Below are 15,657 nucleotides of genomic sequence, written 5' to 3'. Positions count from 1 at the left end.
GCACAATAGCTAACCTAACTATAGTACAATATCTTAAACAAATGACATTGATAAACTCATCAGCCATATTCATATTTTGCCAGTTTTACATGCACACCTATTTGTGAGTGGTTTTATGTTTTCAAACTAATTTGTGGACCTAAAGCAGTCTATGGATTCAATACAACCTCTTTCAAAATCCCAATGGCATTTTTTTTTTTACAGAAATAGAACCATCTTAAAAGTCATATGGAATCTCGAGAAACCCTGACTAGCCAAAAGAATCTTGAAAAAGAACAAAGTCAGAAGGCTCACATTCCCGGCCTTCAAAACACATTACAAAGCAATAGCAGTTAAGGCGATGCTGTATTATCATAAAGATACATATATAGACCAATGCAGTAGAATAGATAGCCTAAAAACAAACCATCTTATATGTGGCTGAATGATTTTCAACAAGGGTGCCAAGACTACACTATGGGGAAAGGACAGTCTCTTCATCAAATGGTGATGGGAAAATTGGATGTCCACATGTAAAAGAATGAAGTTGGACACTTACCTTACACCATTACAAAAAATTAACTCAAAGTTATTAAAGACCTGAAACTAAGACCTAAAACTATTAAGCTCCTAGAAGAAAACATAGAAGAAAAGCTACAGGACATTAGATTTAGCAACAATTTCTTGATTATGACATTGAGAAGATAGGGAATAAAATTTAAAAATAGGTAAAGGGGACTACATCAAATTTAAAAACTTCTGCACAACAAAGGAAACAATTGACAGAATGAAAAGCAGCCTACAGATTGGTAGAAAATAATTGCAAGTCATATATCTGATAAGGGATTAATATCCAGAATATCTAAGAAACTTTAACTCAACAACAAAAAACCAAATAACCTGATTTAAAAGTGGACAAAAGATTTGAGTAGGCATTTACCCAAAGAAGATATGTAAACAGTCAATAAGCATATGAAAAGATGATCAACATCACTAATAATTAGGGAAATGCAAATCAAAGCCACAATGCAATATTACAAGTTGGCAACTCTCAAAAAAAAAAAAAAAAGAACCCAAATTAAGTGTTGATGAGGATGTAGAGAAATTGGAACCCTTGCACACTGTTGATGGGAATTCAAAGTGGTGCAGCCATTAAGGAAAACAGTATGGAGGTTCCTCAAAATATTAAAAATAGAACTACTGTATGATCCAGCAATCCCATTTCTGGGTATATATCCAAAAGAATTGAAATCAGGATCTTGAAAAAGAATTAAAATCAGGATCTTGACTAGATAGCTGTACTCCCATGTTCACTGTAGCACTAACTGCAGCACTATTCACAATAACCAAGAGGTAGAAGCAACCCAGATGTCCATAGACAGATGAGTGGATAAAGAAGATGTGATATAACCATGCAAAAATGGAATATTATGCAGCCTTAAAAAAGAAGGAAATCCTTTCACATGCTACAACATGGGTTAATCGGAAGGACATTATGCTGACAAAATGAACCAGTCACAAAAGGACAAATACTATATGGTCCCACTCATATGAAGCATCTAAAGTAGTCAGAATCAAAGAGACAGAAAGTAGAAAGGTGGTTATCAAGGACTGGGGATAGGGTATAGGGAGAAGTAGTTTTTAGGGGGATTAGGGTTTCAGTGTTGCAAGATAAAAATGTTCTAGAGATCTATTGCATAATAATGTGAATATATTTAACACACTGAACCATACACTTAAAAATGGTTAAGTTGACAAATTTAATGATACATTTTTTACTGCAATAAAAAAATGATTTGTAACTTATTGTATAGGTGCAGACCATCCCCAGAATGGCCACAGTCGATAAGAATCTGGATCATGCTCACTTGACCCCATAAAAGAAGGACTTGAGTCTCTCCCAGAAAGCTTATAGCAATAGAATTCATCCCTGACCTGGTCTCTGCTTTACACCCTCTTTGACCTCACTGTAGAATGTCTTATTCCTCTTTTGATGGGACAAGAAAGGATCTCATTTCCTGAAAGATACATATGAGTTAGAATAATTCCATCCACCCTTTTTTTTGTCATCAGCCAACACCAAGAGTTGCTTACATGATTCACAGGGTGTAAAATAAAAATGCAGGGTCCCAGAAGGAGTAGAGAAGTCAATCTCCATTTCTCATAACCCACAGAGGAGAGGTGACCCCCAAGGGATTGTAACCTCCAGACTGAGACATGCTAAGGGGTGGACTAGAGGTCCCTGCCAAGTCACTGGCTGAACATGCCTGAGAGCTGACAGCTTAGGGTGGGAGCAACCACTGCCTTGCCCTTTTTTTGAGGAGAATGGGGTACATGCCTTATCCTGAACCTCCTCATGGTTACACCCAGGACCCTGCCAAGTGGCAGAGGGTGACTGAGGTCATGGAGTGGGGGTGGGAAGGGAGAGATCAGAGGAGGCTAGGGCACCAGGGGGCAAGGGAGTGAGAGGTTGAGAACCTGTCCCAGGGAGGAGAGAGGCAGGGGCAGGCAGGGGCAGGCAGGACCACACATGAGCTGAGGCTCCAAACCCCCAGTGAATGCTCTATTATCTCATAGAATTTCACTTTCAAAATATAAATTCAAAGATAAGTTCATTAAAAATTTCACAATGGTATCCCCAGAAATTAAAATTGAGTGCAGGACCCTTCTGAGTGCAAGGCTCTGTGCAACTGCATTGGCTGCACAACTCATGACCCTGCTGGACACACCAAACTCAAAGCTATCTGAAATTGTAATCCTCTACACTCCTTGGGACTGGGATCCTCTCCTTTCTTCTCCAGTGTGGCCTAGGAATGATGGGAATGAACAGTGAAACTTTCTTATATTTGACCCCTCCTCAATGAATTTGTGTAATATTAGCAAAGCCCTACTTATTTAGAAGAAAAACAATGTGCTTATCTCACCATGTCTGATGTTTAAAAACAAAATAGTCTTAAACAGCCTGAGTAACAACAGGATTATCTAGCTGTCTGAGAGAGAAACTTGGGAATCATTCTTGACACCTTCTTTCTCTTCATTCTTCACAGGTAATTGTCATCACTACCTCCTATAGTGCCACATCCTAGATCTCTCCAGAATCCATTACCTGAGCTCAGTCTCTTCTGCAATTGTCCTAGTCCAGACCTTCATCATTTCTTACATGGAATATTACAAAAGCCTCTTGATTAATCTCCCTGCCTCCCCTCTGCCTCCCTCACTGGTCCATTTGCACATTCCTAATGGAGACATCTTTAGAAATGGCAACTTTGATCATGTCATATACTTACCCCTAAAATTATTCATTGATATCATTGACCACTTTTAGAATGAAATCAAACTCCTTAGCAAAGTACACTAACCCTTTCATACTGATCTCTGGTAAGTACTGCCCCAGTGTGGTCTCCAACCATTTCCCTACCTGACTCCATTCCTTTCCTCACTGTACAGAACTTCTTAGGAATGTTCCAGGATATTTAGTCTGTAGGCCTTTGTGTATGTGGGGCTCTTACTTAGCTAGTTAGTTCCTCTGACTTCTTTGCCCACTGGACCTTCCCAGCATGAGGGATGACTATTACCCGAGGACCCCTATCACTTGGTGTTTACCCTTATCAAAGCACTCTCTGCACTGATCTATAATTATTTCAGGCTATCACGTTTCTCAGTTGGGGGGATGCTGTTTCCATGTGGTGTATCTTCAATTTTCCTGACCTGCTGTGAAACCCATGGGGAGGGCCTGGGTCTTAATAATCATTGTAATTCTAATGCCTTGAAAAACTTCTGGAATATGGTAGGCAATAGGTAGATGTTTGCTGCAGAAAAGAGAGAGAAAGGGAGGAAGAACCGACCAGCTGCCACCTGTAACACTTCTTTTTTTCCTAGCCCTTGAGATTTCACACATCCTCCCTCACCAGTTAGTTGATGTCTTAAGAGTCGATATAGATTGGCGGCACAGCCAATGTAATTGATTATGCAGACACAGTTGCTTAGGTGATAGAAAGTAATGATTTGACCAAATTTGAGTGGTGGCTTTATACAGACATAGCTCAGCTCCTCCTGTTCATGTGAAACGCAGAGACGCAGAACTTTGCTTCCTCACAAATAACCAGTTCAAAAGATTACCACAGGCACTTTGAAAAATAAGTGGAAGTGGCTAAAGATCTACAAGAAAAAGTTCCAGTTTTATGGACATAGAAAAACAACTTAAAATTGTATAACATACATTTGTCAAAACCCATAGAACTATACTCCTCCAAGAGAAAATTTTACTGTATGTAAATTTTTAATAACAATCAGAATAGGGGGAGGGGACTCAAAATGGAATTCAAACTGTAACAATTAAATCCAACTGTATTACAAATTATTAACATAACTGTAATTTAGGGAGCGGAGAAGAAAAAAAACTAAGTTACTTCGGAAAACAGTATTTTGACTGGATACTGTGAGGCTAAACAACTACTATACTCTAGTTAGTAAACTTATGTCTCACAGGAGTATTGATTAGCAATTCTGAAACTACTTTGTGTGTATACTACAGTTGAACTAATAATTAAATACATCATCAATAATGAAAGCCAAATTTCTCACTATCCGAGAAAAAAGTTACAAATAGGGAAAGGGAAAAGGCTAGAATGAATTCTGGTGTCATATTGGAGTCAGAGATATCGGTATGAATTCATGGTTTTAAAAATATATATACAAAAAATACAGACTTATGTATGTACCTAGTACAATCCTAGTATTCATACATATATTTCCTAGTTCTGTCTATGGAGAGGAGTTAAAAACAATGACACCCCAGTAGCAGTGAGCACACCCAGCACTCAAATCTTGGTTTCTACATACTATTCTCCAGTGAAAAAAGAAATAAGGATACTTGGAAAAGTGTTTGATTCCAGGGCTGGGGCAGGAAAAATGAGCCAGGAGTATTTCGTGATGCCGAAAAAGTAAGGAAGTACTCAAAAAATGATGGGGGCAGCTATTGAAAGGGTAAAGGAGCCCAGCTGTAGCCAAAGAACAACAGTAAAATAAGTAGCAACTGTATTGGATTATAACCCATAGAACACAATAAATATTCAGGAATCCATACTGATGTAAATAAATAATTGGATAAATAAATAAAATAGAATGGCAACTCTTCCTTAAAGGAGACTTTCAAATAATAAATGTAGAAGGAGTTAGGGAAGTAGAAAATATTTATTAGAATACTACAGCAGTAATTTTTCAAGATCCATTGATTAATGCTAAAATTAGTAGTCTCAAAAGATCACCCCCAAGATATTTATTAATCACAAAGCTGAAAAAAGAATTATCTTTATGACAAAGAAACCCAAAAGATACCACCTTAACCGCATGACCAATGTTAACATCACTAGTAATAAGACATATTAGCCAGGCTTGGTGGCATGCACCTGTAGTCCCAGCTATTTGGGAAGCTGAAGCAGGAGGACTGCTTGAGCTCAGGAGTTCAAGGTTACAGGGAGCCACGATCATGTTGTTGCACTCCAGACTGGGCAACAGAGTGAGATCCTGTCTCTGAAAACAAAAAAAGAAACAATAACAATAACAACAACAACAAAAAACCAAAGACATATTGACTTTAGGTGCTGTTAGTAAGATGCACTGAGAAGGGCTTATCATTTCTGTGGTATTCTTGCCTCAAAGTGGAAAACATAGCTATACTAGAATTGAGTGACATTCTGCAAAATAACTGACCAATACTCTTCAGAAGTGTCAAGGTCAAGAAAAGAAACTTCTCATAGATTGAGAAGACCAGGGAGATATGATGACTGGGATCCTGGATTGAATCCTAGAACAGAAGAAGTATGTTAATAAAAAAGCTGGTAAAATCCAAAGAAAGTCCATAGTTTAGTTAATAGTATTGTAATGATAACAATTTCTTAGTTTTGATTATTGGATTTGGTTGTTAAAGATAATAACAATAGGGAAACTGGGTGAAGGGCATATGGGAACTCACTGTACTATATTTGCATCTTTTCTGTCTAAAATTACTTAGAATACAAAGTCAAAAAAATAAATGGGGACCATGCTGTTAAAAAGGGGAAGAAAGAAGAAGGGCAAAGGCATGTATGACATTTTCTGAGAGAGGATAAAATGCACTATAAGAACAGAGGTCAGAAAAGCTCAACATAACAGAGAGGTGGAAAATGTAAAAAAAAAAAAAAAAAAAAAAAAAAAAAAGTACAGAAAACCCAAGCAGAAAAGTCACCATTGCTCATTTGAATTCACTCATTTAAAAACTGGAGGACCATTCAAGCAGCCATGGGCTAGTGCTGACCTGCACACATGTTAAGGCCCAACCCAGAGCTATGAACATCACACGCAGGATTTGCTCAGGATGTTTCAAAAGAAGTGAGTGCTTGGCCAGCTTGGGAGTCGCCTGGACAGTCTGGTGGCCTGTATGTCAGAGGCCTCACAGACATCCTAAATAGAGAGGTCCAGTTCCAGAGTTGCCTCTATAAGCTTGGAAATAACCCAGAAGGGTTAGTATTTTTGGTCTGACTATTGAATGGCATCTATTATTATGGCGAAGGTGTCTATGTCACTGGATCTGCAAGGATCAAGTTGTCGGGATGTTCTTCCCTATGCAGAGCTCACGTGAATTCTACCACATTTTCTTAGACATATTAAGATATGCACATCTTACAAGGTTGAGAGACATTCTACCTCTAAGGTGACTTGGAATATCTCTTATTGTCTGTTAGAGCTAACTATATTTTACTTATAGGCAATCTTGTTTTCAGGGTTTTGAGAGATACTTTAATTACAAAGCATTTGGACAAGCATCCCCAACAAGTGACAGTCTCACCATCATTAACTGTACAGTCAACCATCAGTGCATACATGATGCCAGTTACTCCACCCACCTCATTCGCTGTCATGGATATTTGAAATGAACAAAATGTTGATGGCACTAGCAGTGGAGCCCAGCTATAGCATACTGTGAAGATGTGAGGGTGATATCTGACATATCCTCATTCCCATTCACTTCCAGAGTTCCTTTAGCAATTACGGATCTTGGGATCAGAAGACCTGAGACTGGCTTTTGCCCCATAATTTCTCACTGTGTGGCTTTAAACATGTTATGAAGCTTACAGTTTGTTTTCTCATCTGTAAAATGAGGATAATGATAACAACCAGCTCACAAGATTATTTTGAGAATCAAAGGTGTTATTACATGAGAAAGTGTTTATTAAAGACTAAAACACATTATAAGTATGAATTTTAATTTCACTGCCCCAATACAATGAAACATATGGCATTTTTAAATGTAAAAAGAACCCCACAATGCATAAATTTTTAGAAACAAATAATTTTAGTGAAAAAAAACCCACTTTTTAAAAAATCTGAAACATCTTTTCCAGCACTTTGCTGCATAGTCAGATGCTTGAAGCAGAAATTCTTTTCTATAATGTCCTTAGCAGTGTGAGCCCAGTCTGGTTGCCAGGCCCATAAAAACAGAAAGCTGTTGATCATTAGTCTGTGTAAAACATAGCACTTGGGCATCTCACTTGGAACTTGCTTTTTAACTTGTTTCAAGAGGTGGCGCTTAGAACTGAAGAGAGTATTGTATGGCTGAATGAGTGCACCAAAACACCAGGCCAGACTGGGGTGTGGACACCCACTTATGTGTGCAACTGCCTTTTTAACTAATTAATCCTCTCCCTGCAAGCCTGAACGCGGCCTGTGAACTTCACATTCCACTGGTAACTGGAACCCTGGATCCTACAAAACCTGGAGGCTTTCATGAAATGTTATTTGTTCAGGGCGCTTGAAGCAATGATATCTAATGGAGCAGAAGCAAGGAGAAAATGACCTGAGCTTTAGTAAAGAATGGTTGATTTCCATCACAGATCTGGCTCTGTCTCTACTCTGCTTAGAAACCCTGGAGGGCTCCCTTCCTGGACAGACTCCAAACTCTTCTCAACCAACCCTGGGCTCATTTTTCCACACACTCATACCACTCACCCCCCTTTCTCTGCCCTCCAATCTCTGTGCTTGTGTTTCCTAATGTATAGTTTGCAACAAAATAAACTGGTAGTGCTTGTTTAAAATGTAGATGCCATTGCTGAACTTCAGGGCTAACGAATCAGAAATTCTGGGTGTAGAGACCTCAGGAATCTGCTTGTCAAAACTAGTTCCTCCAGCAAATCTTGGGAGACAATGACCTGGCCACACTTAACCACTTATCTGTTCCTTAAATTCAGCATGCATTTTATTCCTCTGTACTTCTGCCTTCCTTTTCTTTTCCTCTCCACAAACTCGCTAAGCTTCCTTTATCGAATAACTTCTGTATACCAAATGCAGGCAGTCCATTAAGGCTTCAAGGCCCAGCTCTTATTTATGGCTTCGCTGGTACTGTTCCTGATTCTTCTCAATACAAAATTAACTGAGCACCTACTAAGTATCAGGTATGCAGAGAGGACATAGACATGAACTAGATTTTGTCTTTGTCCCCAAGATGCTCACTCAGAGTGACAGAGACCTTATGAATCTGTGCCTCTACTCTCTCTAATGAGAAGCTAGACTTTCAGAACCACAGCACTGGAAGAGCTGATGTATCAGCCAATCTAGACAGGGAAGCTCTTTTTGCCACTGAGATGCAAATGCACCTTCCTAACTAGAATTCATTGTATGCTAAGCTAGTCGTCCTTTTTCTTGCCAAAATATCTTTCATCAAGAGAATGCCAAAGTGCTTTTCTAGTAGATTTGAATTGGGTACCAGATTTACTGATAGCAAAATCAAGATTCTGATGTATTAAATATCCTTCTTTAGGCCTTAGAATAGCTTATGGCAGAACTGAGCACATGAGAACTTCTCCAATGCGTCATAGCATGGGGTCTGCACATAAAAGGGCTTCAATAATGTGGCCAATGAGTGGTCAGTTTGCTTTATAAACTTCTAAAAATAGAATGAACTTCCTCTGGCAGTGCCAGCCTGGAGCTTGAGTCTGTCTGTGCTGGTGTTGAATGCCTCTCACATTCTGGGACTTTGGATTTACCCTTTTTTGGGTCCCTTTTTTGCTTTCCATTTTAGATTTTTTTTATCTTTAATTTGTGCAAATTTATTTTGCTCCAATTTTTCAAATTAGTTATTTTTTTTTCTGCCTAGGTCTGCCACTTGATACTTCCAAAGTTTCTTTTTCTCTTCTCACCTTATTTTCTGACTGTCCCTACCCCCTCTGTCTCTCTCCCCTCCTTTTCTCCTCCCCACCCACCTTCCTCCCTGTGGCCCACATCCTGCGTAAGAATACAGGCAGGATTAATCCAGCAGGGAACACAATGTCTGCGAGCCACGACAGACGCACTAAAGCGTGCAGTGGTGATAAAAGGCAACTCTGATGGGCTCTGTCAGGAATCCTCAGAAACACTGACGGGAAACATTTGCTAACTCTCTCCTGGCTTCAGGCCCCCGGGCCCCACAACAGGATCATGCCTAGAAAAGCCAACGGAGAAAAGTAGTGAAACTAGAAAATCTCCTTGCCTCCCAGCACCCCATGCAAGAAAATTTTCCTCATAGCCAAAATTCTCTAGCTGTTTACCTGAAAGACCCTGGGTTAAAACTGTGAGTGGCCTCAAACTTTGATTTATGTCCTAAATCGTTGAAGGAATGCTGTAAGCCATCTTAGGAGAGAAGACTGAGTAACCTACTTCTGCCTTGCAAAGAGAAAGATGAGCAAAAAGGAAAAAAAAAATCCCTTTAGTGCTGTGAATGGCTCAATGTCCAAGGATGTGTGCAGATATGTGACACGTGTGTGCATAAACATGGCAATAATACATGTGCATTTGGGTTCAGTTTCCCTCCAAGTACATTCAATTAAAAAAGATTTCTTGTCCTACATACCCATGGAGTCTGTGGGTATATAGGACAAGAAATAATATTTTGCTTGTTACCTAGTGAATTTGATCTACTAAACACCACAAATTTGTACCCAAGTTGACCTATTAACCAAACAAATAATAATTGCTACCCCTTTGGAGAGGAGGTATGAAGATCAGGATGATTCCCAATATTAATTCATGTTTACTTTACTGTTTGTTCCCTTTAGACTTGCTCTATTCCGTAGGCCCATTTGCCATCCTGAAAGTCTCCAAGTGTAGTCACTACTTCTGTTTGGACAGCGATCATTGTCCTTGTGTCATGGGGCTGCAGTCTTGTCATTTAAACATAGCCCCCACTGATGTTGTCTGTCTCTGTTTCTTTCCCTTTCTCTTCATGACTTTTGGTTTCTCCCGCTCCACTATCCAGGTAGGCAGGGGCCCCAGTCAGACTAATGGCTGGCCCATTAGTCCATTGGGGTCTTCAGGGATAATAAAAGTTAGGTTTCTAAACAGCCTTAGTTCAAATGCTCACCACTTCCTGAGAGCCTGAATTTCAGCCCTTTCCCATTAGTACTTTAGCATAAAGCAGTTTATCAGATTCAGCTGGTTGATTCTAAGGTGATAATATGCAGGGCTTTAAAGTTTCCCTGGAAAAAATCAAGGTAGCAATAACATTCATTCATTCACCAAATAATTTTCTAATGCTGTCATGTGCCAAGCACTAAATGCAGTGAGCAGAGGTCCACATGGCAAACTTAGAAGGGGGTTACTTCTTAAAAAGACAGAAAAGCAAATTCAGTTATTTTTCTTGAACAAATAATTCCTGAATTCCTATTTTGTACCAGCCAGTCTGCTTAGTTGTGGAGACACATGGTGAGTCGGCAGGCCTCTACCCTCAGGAAGCTCATATGACTTTCTATAACAGATGCTCTGAGAGAGGCTCAGCCGGTGTTTTGGGAGAGCCTGAATTTCAAGGACACTGGGAGAGGAATGAGAAGGGGATGCAAAAAATCAAATAAGTCTTCCAGGAGGAAGTAGCTCTTTAGCTATGTTGTGAATAAATTAAATAAAGAATAAGACTTTACTATAATTAAAAAATAAAAAAATAGATGTTGGTGTGGATGTGGAGAAAAGGGAACATGTTTACACTGCTGGTGGGAATGTAAACTAGTACAACCACTATGAAAAACAGTATGGAGATTCCCTGAAGAACTAAAAGTAGAACTACTGTTTGATCCAGCAATCCCACTACTGGATATCTACCCGGAGGAAAATAAGCCATTATATGAAATAGACACTGGGACACACATATTTATAGTAGCACAATTTGCAATTGCAAAAATATGGAACCAGCCTAAATGCCCATCAACCAAAGAGTGGATAAAGAAAATGTGGCATATACATATATCACAGAATACTACTCGGTCATAAAAAGGAACAAAATAATGGTATTCACAGCAACCTGGATGGAATTGGAGACCACTATTCTAAGTGAAGTAACTCCGGAATGAAAAACCAAACATTGTATATTCTCACTTATAAGCGGGAGCTAAGCTATGAAGGCACAAAGGTAAAAGAATGATATAATGGTCTCTGGGGACTCATGGGAAAAAGTGGGAGGGGAGAGAGGGTTAAAAGACTACACATACACTGCTCAGGCGATGGGTGCACAAAAATCTCAGAAATCACCACTAAAGAATTTTTCCATGCAACCAAACACCACTTGTTCTCCCAAAACTATTGAAATAAAAATAAATATTCAAAAACATAAAATTTTAAAAATTTTTCAAAAGAAAAGCATAATTTACCAACAAATATATTTACAAATGTCTTGTTTGGTGATGAGAACATATATATATTATAATGTAATTTGCAGATATCTCTCATATTAAAACATTACAACTCAAAAAGAATATGGCTTTAAGGCCGTGGAAAAGGGAGGCAGGGCCATTCTAGGAGGAAGAAGCAGCTGATAAATGACACAGAGACAGGACTTTTGAGGGACAGATTATTGAGAACTTCGAATGCCAGGCAAATTTTAACTTTTATTTTGCAGTCATTGGAAAGCATTCAGGTTTTTGAGTAGGAAAGTGACATCATTTCATTTATGTTTTATGGAGGATGGTAGAAATATCAAGCTAGAGTTGACTTGTTAGGAAGTTATTTGTAATAACCTCAGTGAGATGTGGTGGGAGTCAGAATCAGTTAGTGGAAGTGGGAAGGAAAAGAATAGGTGAATGTGAGAGAGATTAAGCTCTAACTGATATGTGCTGTAGGTAGTGGTAAAATAACGTTTGAGGCTTTAGAGAGTAATGATGTTAAGATTAAACCTCTAGTTTAAAATGATTGATTGAGCACACACATCTATGCCTTCCCTCCTAAAAATTTATTAGTGATTCTAAATAAATAATAAAAAGTTATCAATGCTTTTTAACCAAGATGGAAAAGGGGGGGCCATCAGTGCACAAGAGAGTCAACATATTTAGGGAAGACTAAAAGTGGACAAAGAAGTAGTGACTGATGTAGCAGAGTGGAAAAGAGCTGAGAATACACAGAGAGGTGGCTACAGCCAAGAAGGAAGTTGGTCTGCCCTTCCAAGTCCTTCCTGGTGAAGCTCAAGACCTCAGGGGAGAGACCAGGGCCTAGATATAGGGAGAATACGGAAATATGTATAGATACAGCAGTCACCATCCATATATCCCCACTGACCATGTGCAAAATGCCAGGCAGTCAAGTTATATACCTAATAATGGAAAGAAAGGAAATCTTCTCTAAAGATATAGACTAAAGGATACCACAATATGCCACCTCAAAATGTGCCTCTTTGGCATATGGGTTATTTTGAACTAAAGACACTTGATGACAGTAGACAAAAACAAAACAAATCAAAACAATTTACCTCCCCATAACAGCCTAAGAATAGAGTATATAATTTTTTCCTTTGGTGAAGAAATCTCTATTTGTAAAGGTATCTCTATACCAGGAAGAGAGTTATTCCTGGAGACAACATTTATCACATGACAGACTCTTATCTGGATAACAAGACAACCAATACTTACCATATATTTTCTCGCCTCATCTTTCCATAAGTTGCCTTCCCCTGCCCAGAGCCCAATACCCCTTTTCCTCTGCTTAGCCTATGATGGTATAAGCCTCAATCTTCTGGCTGCCTCTTTGAGTCAGATTTTCTTGTTTCTTTTTTTTGAGACAGAGTCTCACTCTGTTGCCCAGGCTGGAGTGGAGTGGAGTGATCTTGGCTCACTGCAACCTCTGCCTCCCGGGTTCAAGTGATTCTCATACCTCAGCCTCCCTAGTAGTTGGGACTACAGGCACGAGCCACCACACCTGGCTAATTTCAGCCACACTTTCCTTCTGAACTCTCATGTCTGCACATATAAGCAAAAATTTTTTTTCCTCATGTTTATCTGTCCTTTATTAGTTTGATTCAAAGACCTCTGCCATCGAACCTAGGCAGGGAGAGGGAAAAGAATTTTTTCTTCCCTACAAGAGCAAACTATTTGGGTAAAACCAGCCACTGTTATAGTGTTGGCACCTCCAGCATTTAGGGATCTCAGCACATGATGGCCTGTTTACCATCCATTGAGCCCTGGAGTGGAAAATCCCTGTTGATCTGCTCCACCAGTGCATGAGAGCTTACAATGAGGCTACCTGTTGCCTTATATTGCAAAATGAGTGAGGAATCAAAGATCTTAAGTCTATAATATGAAACAGAAACATGAAGATAAGCTAACATAAAAAGATTAGAAGTAGAAGGGAATTCAGAGAAGCAAAATAGAACTATAGAAATAAACTACAAGCCTTGTTTTGTTCTGTTAATTTCTCATCTCTTCTAAGAATGTAATTTGTTATGGTTTAAGCAAAACAAGAAGAGCATTCTATTTTTAAAACACTTAAAACTATGACTGCCTGAAAAAAATACAAAAGTAAATTTATCTTCTGAAATGAAAAGTAAAATAGAGGAAGTCTCCCAGAAAGTATATTTTGAAAGATAAAAATATATAAAAGATGAGAGAAAAGATAAGAAAAGAATTTCACAAAGCTGAAGGACACAAGTCCTCATATTTAAAGGTACGGGGTACCTAGAATGGTGGATGAAAAAGGTGCTCACCAAGAGCTCACTGTGTTGTAAGATAAAAACGTTCTCTCTCATTGTATTTCCTCAAATGACATCTTACAAAAAAGTGCACACAAAGTAAACTTTTTGTTTGCTTGGATCTGAAAGTCTCTTTATTCAGCCCTCATACTTAATTGATAGTTTGGCAGGGTATAGAATAGGTTGAAAATCATTTTTCTCATAACGTGAAAGGATCGCTCCAATGTTCATTATACTCAAATCTTCCTTTGAGAGATCTGATGCTACTCTGAGTCTCAATTTTAAATGTTTAGTTTTTGTTCCTGGGAAGATTTTTGGATTAAGCTTTGGCTTTAAGGGAACATTGTGGCTGGTTTGTTCTTCTATCCAGACCACTAAAACTTTCTTCATGTCAGCAGTAAGGCTGCTTCACTTTCTTATCATTCATATGTTCTCTGGAGTAACACTTTTAATTTCCTCCAACTCTTTCTTTGCATTTACAATTTGACTATTTGGCACAAGAGGCCTAACTTTTGGCCTGTCTTGACTTTCCATTTGTCCTTCTCACTAAGCTTAATCACTTCTGGATTTTGATTTAAAGTAAGAGATGTGTTACTCTTCCTTTCAGCTGAATACTTAGAGGCCATTGTAGAGTTATTAATTGGCCCGATTTCAATATTGTTGTGTCTCAGTGAATAGGGAGACCTGAGGAGAGGCAAAGACATGGAGGAATGGCTGGTCAGTGAGCATTCAGAACACATACCATGTTGACTGAGTTAGCCATCTTATATGGGTGCAGCCCAAGGTGCCCCAAAGCAATTACAATAGTAGCATGAAGGATCATTGATCACAGATCACTATAACAGATATAGTAATAATGAAAAAGCTTGAAATATGGAAGAATTACAAAATTTGGCACGGAGACACAGGGTGAGCACAGGCTGTTGGAAAAAGTGGCACCAATAGACTTGTTTGATGCAGGGTTGCCATAAAACTTCAATTTGTAAAAAATGCAATATCTGTAAAGTACTGTAAGAAGGAGTGCAATGAAACAAAACATGCTTGTATATTACAACAGAAGCAAGAAAGTTAATATAGCCTTGAGCATACTACATGAATATCTTGGTCGTTTCACATGAACGCTAGCTATTTTTGATCTTCTTTTCTCATTGGGATTGAAAAGAAGACATTCACCAGATCAGTGACCACATACCATGTACTTGCAGCTGTATTCATCTGTTCTAGGAAAAATCTTATGTCTGTCACAGCAGCTACAGTGGGGGCTACTAGTCCTTGCAGGAGTCTACAGTCATTCTTTAGGATTAATTCAGTTTCTGCAGAGGCCAGAATGGTGACATAAATGTGGATATGATGGGGGCTATCACTTCTGTCTCCTTCAGGACTTCAATGAGGGGAAATAGTCTCTGCTCCTCTCCTTTCCTAGAATATATTATGTTTAATTTCCTATATTGGCCCAGCATTGGAGGTGGTTAGAAGAAGGTTCAGAAGTTCCCGTTTGGCCTTCCCCACTATGATAACTCTACTCAACAGGCCAAGGACCCCATCAGGGGGCTACTCCAACTGCAAGCATATCATTTCCAATGATATGCTTAGGCATTGAGGAAATGACTCCTGGGTGTATTCACAGACTCAGTGTGCCCACTGTGAGCCATACTTTAGCCAAGACTCCATTTATTACTTGGTTCCTGTAGTCCCCATTCTAATGGTGATGCTTTATGTCTCCA

The sequence above is a fragment of the Homo sapiens genome, chromosome 3 (assembly GCF_000001405.40).
Source record: "Homo sapiens chromosome 3, GRCh38.p14 Primary Assembly".
NCBI classification, from domain to species: domain Eukaryota; kingdom Metazoa; phylum Chordata; class Mammalia; order Primates; family Hominidae; genus Homo; species Homo sapiens.
The sequence above is the reverse complement of the archived record's forward strand: the minus strand, read 5'-3'. Positions refer to the sequence as shown.